The sequence below is a fragment of the Homo sapiens genome, chromosome 18 (assembly GCF_000001405.40).
Source record: "Homo sapiens chromosome 18, GRCh38.p14 Primary Assembly".
Classification (NCBI taxonomy): domain Eukaryota; kingdom Metazoa; phylum Chordata; class Mammalia; order Primates; family Hominidae; genus Homo; species Homo sapiens.
The window spans coordinates 23,870,230-23,883,491 of NC_000018.10; the positions used below are offsets into that span (position 1 = coordinate 23,870,230).

Here is a 13,262-nt window from a genome sequence, read left to right on the forward strand (position 1 = left end):
GAGGCAGAGGTTGTAGTGAGCTGAGATCACACCACTGCACTCCAGCCTGGGTGACAGAGCAAGACTTTGTCTCAAAAAAAAAACAAAAATTACCAAACAGAACATAGCAAGTGTTGACAAGAGTGTGGTGAAATTGGGACCCTTCAGCCCTCTTGGTGGGAATGTGAAATGGTGCATCCACTGTGGAAACACTGTGGAAATATCTCAGAAAATTAAAAGTAGGATTACCATATGCTCCAGCAGTCCCACTTCTGGATATCTATCTAAAATAACTGAAAACAGAATCTTCACAAGATATTTGCACATTCATGTTCATTGCAGCATTATTCACAATAGCCAAGAAGCAACCAAATGTCCATCAACAGATGAATAGACAAAGAAAATGTGGTATATATAGATATATGCAATGGAATATTATTCCCCCTTAAAAATGAAGGAAATTCTGTCATAGGCTATAATATAGATGAACCTTGAGAACCTTATGCTAAGTGAAACAAGCCAGTCACAAAAGGACGAATACTTCATGATTCCACTTATATGAATTATCTGAAATAGTCAATTCTTAGCAACAGAAATTAGAATAGTGGTGCCAGGGGCTGGGGAGGGAAAAAGGGAATTGTTCAATGGGTATGGAGTTTCCCTTTTGCAAGCTGGTAAGTTCTAGAGATCTGTTGTGCAATGTTGTGCTTATAGTTAACAAGACTGTACAGTTAAAAATGGTTAAGATGGTAAATTTCATGTTGTGTGTTTTTTACCACAATAACAATTAAAATAAAATAATATAAACGTTTGTGCAAGAAAAGATTGTATTTTCTGTCACCGATGTGTACGTTTAATGAATGACCTGAGCTGCATGACTCAGTCAGTTTCCATATGCCTTCCTTCCCTCTTTCTCACTCACCTTATGTTTGCACAAACAAAAGCACATTTAAAAGATAAGTTGGACACTGGGAATTTTATTTCATTTTATTGCCCCTTATTCCCTGCCTTCATTTTTTTTCCTTCCTTCATGGGAATAACCCAGGACACCTGACTTCTAAATGTAAATACTCCAGGAGGCAGGTATTTCCCCGTCTTATTTCATTTCTCCCTATGCATTTTAAGTGTCTTGTTTTTGATTCATTCGGGGTGTCTGCCTCTAAGGAACCCCTGGAAGTGAGCCTGCCTAAGGAAGACCCTGACTTTCTGTTTCCATGTGTAGGGAAACTTCAGACATGCCAGCAGCCGTGCCCCAGTGTCTAGGGAGGAGCTGATGACAGTGCTGTCTAGACTGGCAGATGTGCGCATCCAAGGCCTCTACTTCACAGAGACTCAAAGGCTCACCCTGAGCGAGGTGGGGCTAGAGGAAGCCTCTGACACAGGAAGTGGGCGCATAGCACTTGCTGTGGAAATCTGTGCCTGCCCCCCTGCCTACGCTGGTGACTCTTGTCAGGTAGGAAGTTTTCCCATCCGCAACATTTCCCTAGGGAGCTCCTGTGGCCGTTTTTGGCTGCTGTCCAGCACTGTGGGATGGTTTGGGGCCCTCTGTCTATTGTTTCTCTGTTCAAGTTTCTGCAGGGCTTATCTTATATCTTACTTAGACTCCCTTCAGGAATTAAGTGTGAAAAAGACATCATCAGTGTCTCAGAATTCATAGGAAAGCCACAGAGATTCAATAGATGCTGAGGGTTAGAGAAATCCAGGGTAGGAAAATAATGTACTATAGTTTCAAATAGCTAGAAGGAGGATATTGACTATTCCCAACACAAAGAAATGATCAATGTTTGAGATGATGGATATGTTATTACCTTATCTGATCACTAAACGTTGTATGTGTCACAACATCACTATGGACTCCATAAGTATTTATCATTATTATTTATCAGTTTTTAAAATAACATATTTTTTAAATGAAGGAGCTCACCAGCCAGCATCTTAGTATTTGAGCCCCTGCTTTCCCAATAACTGACCTTATACCTTTCTCTAATCCGGAGCCTCCCTCTACCCACTCTCAACTCCCCAGTAGAGTTGAATTCCAGAGAATATCCTGGATTTCTTAGAGGACATTATGTTCTAGCTTGCAGCAGGACTCTCGTTGTTTGAGGTCCAGTCAACCAGAGCTGTCTTCAGATGATTAAAATGTGCCATAAAATGAAACTGTTTAATTTCTCTGGCTATAAGTATGTCTTTTCTTAAAGATCAGGGCAAAAGCACAACGTTAGCATGATTAATAAAAGTAGCAAACACTCATTCTGTGTATTCCATACATCCATAAGTACGTAGGCTTAGCAAAACCTTTCACTTTCTTTCCTGGCCCCCTGGTAGCCGAAAACCCCAAGGTGATCTGCGCATACGAGTTCCCACTTTTTAAACCTGCAAAAACAAATCTGACCTGCTGTGGTCTTCTGGGGACTCCAAAGTTGTAATATTTAGCCCACAGGTTGCCTACATTCTTCCCCTTCCTCCATCTCTTTTCTAGCCTGATTAAAATTGATAGCCCGAGGGAAAGAGAGGGACTCTGGATTTCCACCCTCCTACCCAGGGCGTGTTCCCTGCCCGTGACTCAGCCTGTGATTTAGGGCGTCTGCAGGGTGAGGTGGGTGGAAGGTGATGCCCGCCCCACCTCACAGGAATTACAGAGCGGTGCGCTTACCTGCGGGACTGTTATGTGCGCTCTGGCACAGGCTGACTCATGTGTGAAGTTTAAAGGTGGGGCCCCTGCCGCAGACAGCCTTCCTCACCTGAGTCAGGCAGGCCCGGGCACTGAGCAGGAAGGGCAGGTATAAGAGGAAGAGGCAGAGGTTCCTGCGCAGCCAGCGGACGTCCAGGAACCGGGATGCCTCCAGCAGTGAGGCGGTCAGCCTGCAGCATGGGATGGCTGTGGATCTTTGGGGCAGCCCTGGGGCAGTGTCTGGGCTACAGTTCACAGCAGCAAAGGGTGCCATTTCTTCAGCCTCCCGGTCAAAGTCAACTGCAAGCGAGTTATGTGGAGTTTAGACCCAGCCAGGTAACGTCCTTTTAAGTTTTGGTTTGTGATAGGGAAGAGTTTCCAGCTTTGTGACATTTTAAGTTACAGTTACGGTGATTAATGAGTAAATGGGTGGACTGAGGAGGGGCTGATGGCCTCCCAGTCACCTTGACTGGCAGTGTTTATTACAGTGCCTGACAGATTGCTCTCCCGAGCTATTAACCGCAAACCCCATTAACATCAGCCCACCTGGAAATGCCGAGACAGTTAAGAGCTTGAATGCTTGCGGGATGTTAATATACGATGAAACTTTATGCCCTTTAGAGACCATCCCAAGCCTCAGAACAAAAGAGTCCAATGCCTATAGCTTTCCAAATGCTACTTGGAAGAAAATTTACCCACGGGGGGGAGAAAATGGGAAAGAGTGAAATCCAATGCTTGAGAAAAGTGATCAAAGTTTGCATAATACCTAAAAGACATGCTTCCATTTGCCAGGCATGAAACATTAAGAAATTCTGCTCTCTTTAAACTTCCTGGATGCTGCATGTATTCTTACAGAGAAATAGATCCTATGGCTACAGATACAGCCCTGGAAACTGGATTAGGGACATAATATTATCATTTGTATATAATATGTATTACAAAAGTTTACTGGAAAACTTAACATAAAACATCATCATGTTAACTAGTTATAAAACCCCTGTATTGAAATAGTGCATTAGAACACATTCGTTTTCATTTAAAAGTGAGTGTTCAATATAATCTGAGTACTTGAACTGATTTTTTTGTAGAATGTGGTTTTGCTTGCTTTATAAGAGGTGAAAAAATGATTCTATTTTAGTAACTGACAAATCCTCAGAGTCACATGATATGTAACTCTTGCAGAGTATATTTTCTGCTTGTAATCAAAAGCAAATTAAGATGGGTGATTTAGTTTTAATCAGGACAGACTATACTCCCCCAAAGCATGTTTAATTAAGGCTTTTTTCTCAGGCATGTTGTCATAAACTAACCAGATCTATCTGCTTATTTGAATAACTTGCTCTTTACCAAATGTGATTATTTTGTAAGCAGGTAATGTGATATACACTGATAATTATAAGTTACTTGCCACTTATTAGGACAGATTGTATAATAGATAGAATGACACCATCATTGGCTGCATTTCGTTCACATGTAAATCTCAATTGTGCTTTCAGCAAAATAACATTCCTTTCATACTTTGATTCTCCTTTAGGCAAGCCTGTTCATATAACAACATAATCTATTTATTTGCAATATACTCTTTGCCCTAAACATGGTTCCTAATAGCTTAAAGGAACATTATATTGGAAACTGTGGTCTTATTGTGCATGATCTATATTCATTGGTAATTTTGGAAGGGGTTCTAGCAACACCTGGGAGATTCCACTCCCGGAGCACATGAGGCTTCTGCCTCTCTCTCCTGTCAGGTGGCTTCTTTCTCACTTCCACTGGACCAGGTAGAGACCTTTATGGCCATGAGTGAATAAGAATGGACTGTCTACTTCAAGATTTCCTTTGAGTATAGTTTCCAAGTTTTACAGACATATGTGCTATTTAAAGAAGATTTGATAAAAGACTATCCTTTATCTTGAAATAGTTTTCCTGATGCTTTCAAGATAGGGTATATAGGAGATCAGAGAAATAAATTAGGGACAATATCTGATTTTGTTTATTTATTATTAGACAGGGTTTCACTCTTGTTGTCCAGGCTGGAGTGTGGTGGCGCAGTCGTGGCTCACTGCAACCTCCACCTCCCAGGTTCAAGCGATCCTCCCACCTCAACCTCCCGAGTAGCTGGGACTATAGGCATGTGCCACCATGCCCGGCTAATTGTTGTATTTTTTGGTAGAGATGAGGTTTCACCATGTTGCCCAGGCTGATCTCGAACTCCTGGGCTCAAGTGATCCACCCGCCTCGGCCTCCCAAAGTGCTGGAATTATAGGCTTGAGCCACCACAACCAGCCAATATGTGATTTGAATCTGTGCACTGATTTGCTCTGCCAAAATAAAGGACATGTCTATAATTTCCTTTAAAGACAGAAATCTAAATAATTTTAATGGCTGGTATAAGAAGAATTGTTTTTTTTCTGTTGGAGGGATTCTTAACTAGAATCCTTTTAAAAAGATATTAGTTCATGAAAAGAAAATTATAATTCTTTTCATCCAGATGAAAATGCATAACTTGTATTATACTGGAGAGAGATAATATACAGGAGATAGAAATAATCAAATCAAGATTGAACAAGGAAACAAGACCAACCCAAGGAGAGTCCCTCAGGCTGAGCCTCTGTGTGTTCGGGTGGACCAGATGTTCGTGAACAGTCCTGTATGGGAACCTCATGCACGCTCCCCTCCCCTGGCTTCTCTGTTGCCCATGGCCTAGTGAGTGGCAATAAAGTGACTCCACTGATTGTGGCATGATTGTCTAAATCTCAGTTAAGACTCCTATTCCCCACAACCCACTACTCCTACTATACTGCCCCCTCACCAGCCCAAACCCACACTTGGAGAGAAAACGGCTAGCCAAAGATAATTTGGACTTGAAGTGATTTGCTTAGATGTCCTCCCCTCTAAGGACGAGTCTCTTTATTTGTCCATTTCCACCTTCTCCACCTGCCCTCAAAACAGTTGTGAGAAGAGAGGAGCCCCTTCTCATCCCCCATCTCCACACGTGCCCTGTCTCTGATTTCCCCACCATGCATCTCACACTCCCACCAGGGCATGAAAACCAAACAGCTTGAGAGAAAAACAAGTGGACATGACAGGTGGTTGAAATTAAAAATATTCACACTCACTGAAGGAAAGAAGGTTTGAAAAATGTATGCCTCAGCCGGGCTCAGTGGTGCACATGCCTGTGGTTCCAGCTACGTTGGAGGCTGAGGCAGGAGGATTGCTTGAGCCTAGGAGCCCAAGACTCTAGTGGACTATAAGCACACCTGTGAATAGTCACTACACTCCAGCCTGGGCAGCAGAGTGAGACCCTGTCTAAAAAATAAAAATGATGTGAATGCTTCACAGTGAGAGGTGTCACATGCTTTGGATAGTAATTGTTTTCTTTCTTTGTATTGATTAAACACTTTGTTTGAAAAATAGGGTTGTAGCCCTGGATACTATCGGGATCATAAAGGCTTGTATACCGGACGGTGTGTTCCCTGCAATTGCAACGGACATTCAAATCAATGCCAGGATGGCTCAGGCATATGTGTTGTGAGTAAATTGACACTTTAATGCTATCAGCAGACAATCTGTTTCTCCTCCATTCCCCTGTACTATGCCCAAAGACATCAACATTACATCTCCCGCCAAACCCTAAATAGAGGTCGCTGTGTAAATATATGAGGCTCCATTATCAGGCTGAATTATTTTACATTTCATTTTCTCCTCCATTTTAACATGCACCATTAAAAGAGCGCTGCTGTCTGAGCAATTAAGTTACACTTTAGCTTCTAAATCTCTCCTTCGTGAAATGATAGTAATGGGTGGACCTTGGAAGTTAACTCTTGCCAGGACAAAACTAATCCAAGCCACTACTTTGGGTCCCAATTTTGTTGGGGCGGCAGGAAGTTACAGGAGTGGGGCTTGTTGCTGTCAGATGTCCAGTAACTCAAGAAAGCAGCCAGGGAGAAGGGGATTTGAGGAGGGCTCAAGGCTCATAAGAAATCAGTCCAACATTAGCTGGGCATGGTGGCAGGTGCCTGTAATCCCAGCTACTCAGGAGACTGAGGCAGGAGAATTGCTTGAACCCTGGAGGCAGAGGTTGCACTGAGCCGAGATCGTGCCACTGCACTGCAGCCTGGGCAACAAGAACAAAACTCGGTCTGCATTCCATCCACCCCCACACCATAAACAACAACAACAACAACAAACAGAAATCAGTCCAACACAAGCTTCACTACTGCCAAGACAGAGCGGGGCTTGGAGAAGACAGATGAGGGAGGTCGTGGGGAAGGGAAAGTGCTGCTCACCCCTCCCGTCCTCACAACATCCACCGCCTGCCTGTTCCCTATATTGACTATATTTTCTCATGGCCTCAAGGCTGTCTTGGATGACTACAGCATATCCACTGGAACATGATCTTATTTTGGAATATTTTATAAAATTCTTCTACCTAAAATTAGTTTCTTAGGAAATTTTTCTTATGCATCCTGAAGCAGAACCTTTTTTATTCTGCTTTTTTCTTTTGTTTCATTAGAGTTCTTCTTGGTAACCAGGGCCTCCCCAGTGAGGAAAATGGACAGTGAAAAAGAGGGAGCATACTCCAGGAATACAGGGCTTCAGTTGTGTTGTGCCCTTTTGGAAATGCACTCCTCTGGCACAAATTTTCTTTGTATTGTGTAATGCAACTAGAGTGTGTTTCAAGTATGAGTTCCTAGACCGTATTAAGCTCGTTCACCGTGGCCCAGGGAACTGCTTCCTCTGCAAGATGGGACAGGCTAGAAGAGGAAATTGTTGTGAAGAGCCAACTGATAGAATATTTTGTTGGATTGTAATCTTATAAATTCAAAAAGAGTAAAGGGTATTGGGAAATACTGTTTTCCAGCTCGTTAGTATTCCTATAGAATAGTTCATGTTTGATATTGTATGTTTTGTGTAACACGAGTAGATGCTTTAATTAAGAATAAATACGTTGGCCGGGCACGGTGGCTCATGCCTGTAATCCCAGCACTTTGGGAGGCTGAGGCAGGTGAATCACGAGGTCAGGAGTTCGAGACCATTCTGGCTAACACAGTGAAACCCTGTCTCTACTAAAAAAATACAAAAAATTATCTGGGCGTGGTGGTGGGCGCCTGCAATCCCAGCTACTTGGGAGGCTGAGGCAGGAGAATGGCGTGAACCCAGGAGGCGGAGCTTGCAATGATGGCGCCACTGCACTCCAGCCTGGGTGACAGAGCAAGACTCTGTCTAAAAAACAAAACAAAACAAAAACAAAAAAGAATAAATATGTTATCAGTGAACCATTGCCAGATGTCAAGCCCATCTTATGAAAGCTGCCAAAGAACAAAGGGAGGGTTTTTTTCTGTAGTCACCCACTGAAAGGAAAACTTGTGAGAGTCATAATTCATATTTTAATCAAACAAGATTTTCTTTCCCATTTTATTTTTTTTGTAGTTCTGTCTTCACTTGTCCCTAATGGCCATGTGGCCGCCAGAGACTCTTCATTCAGGAAATCCTCACTGAGCATTTGCTAGTGTGGCAGGTACTGAGCTAAGTGCTGGAGTTAAAAATCATCAGACCTAATCCCTACACTCACGAGGCTTGCTGTCTAGTAGGCAATGTGTATGTGTGTACACACACTCACACACACACGCACACACACACGGAGCCCATGTCTGCACTCAGCTAACGGCTCCGTGGCAAGTCCTGAGTGCTGATGCTGCCCTGAATTGTGTCCACTGCATGGAAGCTGAGAATGCATTCCTCGTTCTCAAAGAACAGTAAAGAGGAAATCCAGTATATTTGAATATCAAACGGGCCTTCTGGCTGATTTCACTGCAAATTGACCTCCACCTCTCAAGGTCCAAAGTAAATGTTTAACATCAGGACCTTCACCCAGGTGCAAATCTTCAAGATATTTCAAGAATAGACTCTGAAGTTTGAAAAGATAAGTAGCCCAACTTTTTGCCAGTACAGCAGTAGGTGTCCAGTGTCAAGGGCAGGAGTAGCGGGTAATGTGGGTGCCACCGTCCAGAGGGACCTGCGATGATGGCCTCCTCCTATGTGCTGAGACCCCCATCTCTCCCTCTTCTCATTGCCCCAATTTCTCCCCATATTTTCTCCTCTCCCCCCAATTCCCCTTCCTCTCTACTATCCCCGTCACCCCTTATTTTCCTCTCCGTTCCTATTTCCCTCCCCTTTTCTTTTTCTGTCTTCTTTCTTCATCTTCCTTCTTTTATTTTCTGCTACTTGAGCCCATCTTCCCCTCTGCAGTTGCAATGGAATTTCCAAATGATTTATCTGAAATTCACAGCTGACATGGTGCTCCTCTGAGGCTCACAGACGGAAGGAAGCCCACGACCCTTAGCACAGTACTGGGGGCTCTTTCTAGCTGCATCCCGCCCCCTTGCACTTCTGCCTTGGGCACGCCCTTTGCTTTTCATTCCCTCCACACACTGCCATGCTATTGTGAGACTGAGGTTCTGCACGCTGTGTCCCCTGTGCCTGGAATGCCCTTCCCTCACTTCTGCGCTCAGTGAATCCCTGTCCTTCTGCGGCCCTCGCAGGCAGCCCCTCCTCCTGCTCTCGTGGGATGCTGGCACACTTGTGTCCTATTTTCCACGTGATATTGAATACGTCTATTCACAGGACTACATGTACCCCGAGTCGAGGGACCAACCCTTCTTTACATCGCTAGAGCCTAGCATAGTTGGGCATATAGTAAATGCCTAATAGATATTTGGTGACAAATGGAGCTAGGAGAGCACGTGCCATGGGAGTGGACGTGGGCTTCTGCAGCATTCGTTCATTTATTTATTCACAGTAAAACACAAGGAACCTGAAGGGAGGTGCTCCAAGTTTGCAGGACTGAGGACAGTTTCCAGGGTGGCCACTCTCAACTGACAGTGAAGGGTTTCTCACATATTTTTACGGGACTTTGTCAAGCAACACGGGTTTTGACACTCTTCCTTGATCCTCTCCTCTCACCCCTGTGAAGGACCAGTACTCAGAGTGATTTTAGTAGGATACGGATGTCCTCACCTCAATTCTTGCATCTGTACATTCTTGCTTCTCCAATGTGTTCAGTCTCAGAGCTAAGTAGACACAGGACTGAAATATATCTATACAGTCATGTTCTACTTTTAAATTGTCATTTGGATTAAAAGAGAAAGAGAACTAAAATGGAAAAGTATTAGTTCCAAAGGACTGATGTCTTCTGAGAGAGTCAGGGCAGCTGAAGACTGGGTGAGGGTGAGGGAAGCCGCTGGTGTCCTCCTCAGTCACCCGTGAGAGGACTCCTCTGTGGAGCTAATCAACTGCAAGGAAGATTGTTCCCAGTGTCCAGACCTGAAGGAGTCTGGACCCATAGTGCAGTGAGATTTGGGGAAGGAAGGATTCCGGATAGGGGTGAGCTTTCTGATGATAAGCAAATGTGAACACGTGAGCAGCATCCTACTTTAAAGCCCCTCCACATGCTCTGAAATACTAATATCTTATGTTTATAGCACAATTTTATAGCTGGGAAAAAAAGAAAGGATATTTTAACATCTTAGTGTTTTGTGTAATTTTCAGTTACTCAAAGGTTAGTGAAGGATGGATTTGCTCAATCTGGACAAACTGACGGCATTTATGATGGAAGGGCAACCTTTTTCATTATGAACAAGCCATGTCTTCTTGGGATATAAACGTATATTGCTTTTCCCAATCTACCTTCAGATATTATTTAAAAACTCACACTCATGGCTGGGCGCGATGGCTCATGCCTATAATCCCAGCACTTTGGGAGGCCGAGGCGGGCGAATCATGAAGTCAGGAATTTGAGACCATCCTGACCAACATGGTGAAACCCTGTCTTTACTAAAAGTACAAAAATTAGCTGAGCATGGTGGTGGGTGCCTGTAATCCCAGCTACTCGGGAGGCTGAGGCAGGAGAATCACTTGAACCCAGGAGGCAGAGGTTGCAGTGAGCTGAGACTAGGCCATTGCACTCCAGCCCGGGCGACAGCACAAGAATCTGTCTGAAAACAAAACAAAACAAAAAGCAAAACACAAAACCCCTGACACTCATTAAAGTTTCCTACTCAAGCAACACCTCTGCATACAGAAGTAAAATACATAGGCAAATGTTTAAAATTATACTTATTCCAGCCCATAAAATTAACACAAAGTGTCTCCATATTAGCAAATGCCCACAGCAAGGGGAGTTTTCCTGGATGTTTCTGTGCATTTAGATCTTTTTTGCTAGGGTAACACCAAGAAAATAAACAAATTTGACCCAATCCACTAGGTTTTGTCTCAATAGACCACTTGGTTGCAAAATTATTTCATCTCAACACTTTACTGAAGAACAAATTTCATTAGACAGCAACTTTGATGTGAAAATAATTGGATTTACATAAATAAAAAGCTTAGATAACATTAATTTCTTGCTTCTTTGGGACACTGGAATTCAGTTGAGTATTTTCTTCAGATACTGTGCAATTTTTTATTGTTTTAACAAATTCTGTGTTAAGAACTCATTTCAATAATATCACTCTTCAGTATATCATTGTTAGGTGAACCGTGAAGTAAAATGAGGGTAATTTTCATCAAAGCAGTGCTAAGGGGAAGAAAGAAAAGAATTTACGTTTCCCAAGAGCTTAGTACACTTGCTTTTTTAAATCCTCCCAACAGGCTTAGAAAGTGGGCATTATCCTAACTACATTTTGAGAAAATTATAATTGTATGTAAATCATACACTAGTAAAATTGATATAAGTAAAATTGATACAATTGAAAGGATCTTGCCCCAGGGCTCCGTGGCCTTGAGATGCTGGAGTGGGATGGGGACTCAGCTGGCTTGTCCCCACTATGTCACGCTGCCAATGTTAAGCACCGCGTCACTGAGGGAAGGACACTTACCCCTCTTTTCTAACACCAGCAATGATTAGAGGGATAGGGAAAATACATGGTTAGAGGAGCTGATATCACTGCAAAGTCAGAGGACTTGAGTTGTAGTCATGTGACTAAGTAAGATTACAATAATCTCAGAAGTAGGGACTGTACTGGCTGCTGTGAATTGTGCTGTTCACCTGTCCCCAGAACTGTCAGCACAACACCGCGGGAGAGCACTGTGAACGCTGCCAGGAGGGCTACTATGGCAACGCCGTCCACGGATCCTGCAGGGCCTGCCCATGTCCTCACACTAACAGGTACCGTAGCAGCTTGACATAACCTACAGGGACCCAAAGTCGTTTGGTGGCTGCCTAGGACTAGGGGTGGGAGAGCAGGTGGGGAGAATGGGAAGTGATTACCAAAGGGTCTGGGATTTCTTTTTGAAGGGATGAAAACATTTTCAAATTGATTGTGGTGGTGTTTGTACAATTCTGTGAATATACTATAAGCCACTGAATTGTACAGTTTACATGATGAATTGCATGATATGTAAATTATATCTCAATAAAGCTGTGATATTAAAATGAACAAACACGACATACAAGAAAACAAATGAATAGGCCGGGTGTGGTGGCTCATGCCTGTAATCCTAGCACTTTAGAGGGCCGAGGAGGGCGGATCACTTGAGGTCAGGAGTTCGAGACCAGCCTGGCCAACATGGTGAAACCCCGTCTCTACTGAAAATGCAAAAATTACCTTGTAATCCAGCTATTCGGGAGGCTGAGGCAGGAGAATCGCTTGAACCCAGGAGGCAGAGGCTGTAGTGAGCCGAGATTGTACCACTGCACTCCAGCCTGGGCGAGAGAGCGAGACTCCATCTTAAAAAAAAAAAAAAAAGAAAACAAACAGAAACCGTCTTTCCAAGTTGTATACTTCCAGGCTTTTCCTTTCCCTCTTTTCTTTTACTGTTCATTCAGTGGCTAAGCAGCTACTTTTCGAGCACCCATGACAGGGCCAGGCCTCAGCCCTATCTATGTGATGAGGAAGCTGAAGGAAGAAGACAGAGGCAGTCCCTGTTCTCCTGGGGCTTGACCTAGAGTGTGGCAGGGAGGGAGAGAAAGGGTGGGAGTCATCACACTCAATAAATACACACACTAATCAGTAAGAGGTATAACTGGAGATAGAGATGACATTTTCTGCAATAGGCTGTGTCACTGACAGTGAGGGGGTGGCTGCTTTAGAGGGGTGGCCAAGGAGGCCTGAAGTTAGAGGAAGCCATGGCAGTATTTTGGCCACGAGGCTCCTAGACAAGGATGAAACAGAAGGAAAAGGCCTGTGACAATGTGTTCAAGGGCAGTGAGAAGGCAGGAGTGGCAGAAGTGCAGTGTGAAGAGGGCCAGAGGTGAGGTTGGTGGAGCAACCAGGACCCAGATCCTGCAGAACCCTGCAGGCTGTGGTCAAGCATCTGGATCTTATCCTCAGTGCGATGGAAATTTTGGGGCAGTTCTGAGCCACTGAGTGATCTGAGCTCTCATTCAGCCTCCAGAGTGACCAATAGACTACATAGGTAGGAATCCACCACTGTGTTTTCAAGGTAACCCCCTCTCTCCTTAAGTGTGGCACTTTGTCATATCCTTACTCATCACAAAGGGTTCACTGTGGGCCCAAGCAAAGAATGATGTAACAAACTAAGTGAAGCAAGAGTTGTTCTGAAAATCAAGAAGATACTGAGAACATCTCACTAGTACATAGACTCAGAAACA

At 43.8% G+C, this 13,262-nt stretch overlaps 1 protein-coding gene across 15 annotated transcripts in view, besides 2 other annotated features; it reads left to right on the forward strand.

The window, feature by feature from the left end:
- Positions 1-13,262, forward strand: part of LAMA3 (laminin subunit alpha 3) — a 265,614-nt gene that overhangs the window by 180,777 nt on the left and 71,575 nt on the right. For 13 of the 15 annotated variants that reach the window (XM_011525978.3, XM_011525982.3, XM_011525980.3 and 10 more), the window contains 3 exons: positions 1,202-1,432; positions 6,065-6,178; positions 11,707-11,816. In XM_011525978.3, the coding sequence (XP_011524280.1) occupies positions 1,202-1,432; positions 6,065-6,178; positions 11,707-11,816 (455 nt within the window). Of the gene's footprint in view, positions 1-1,201; positions 1,433-2,790; positions 2,987-6,064; positions 6,179-11,706; positions 11,817-13,262 lie in introns of those variants that run through there. The other 2 variants (NM_000227.6, NM_001127718.4) reach the window with 1 other exon arrangement.
- Positions 1,508-1,557: an enhancer, noted in NCBI's record as "active region_13165". NCBI's record gives its function as "activates an Ori minimal core promoter by ATAC-STARR-seq in GM12878 lymphoblastoid cells {active_cell/tissue: GM12878}" and the evidence as "EXISTENCE:reporter gene assay evidence [ECO:0000049][PMID:35858748]".
- Positions 2,161-3,360: an enhancer, noted in NCBI's record as "MED14-independent group 3 enhancer chr18:21452354-21453553 (GRCh37/hg19 assembly coordinates)". NCBI's record gives its function as "activates an origin of replication core promoter dependent on BRD2, BRD4, P300/CBP and CDK7 cofactors, and independent of MED14, by STARR-seq in HCT116 cells {active_cell/tissue: HCT116}" and the evidence as "EXISTENCE:reporter gene assay evidence [ECO:0000049][PMID:35650434]".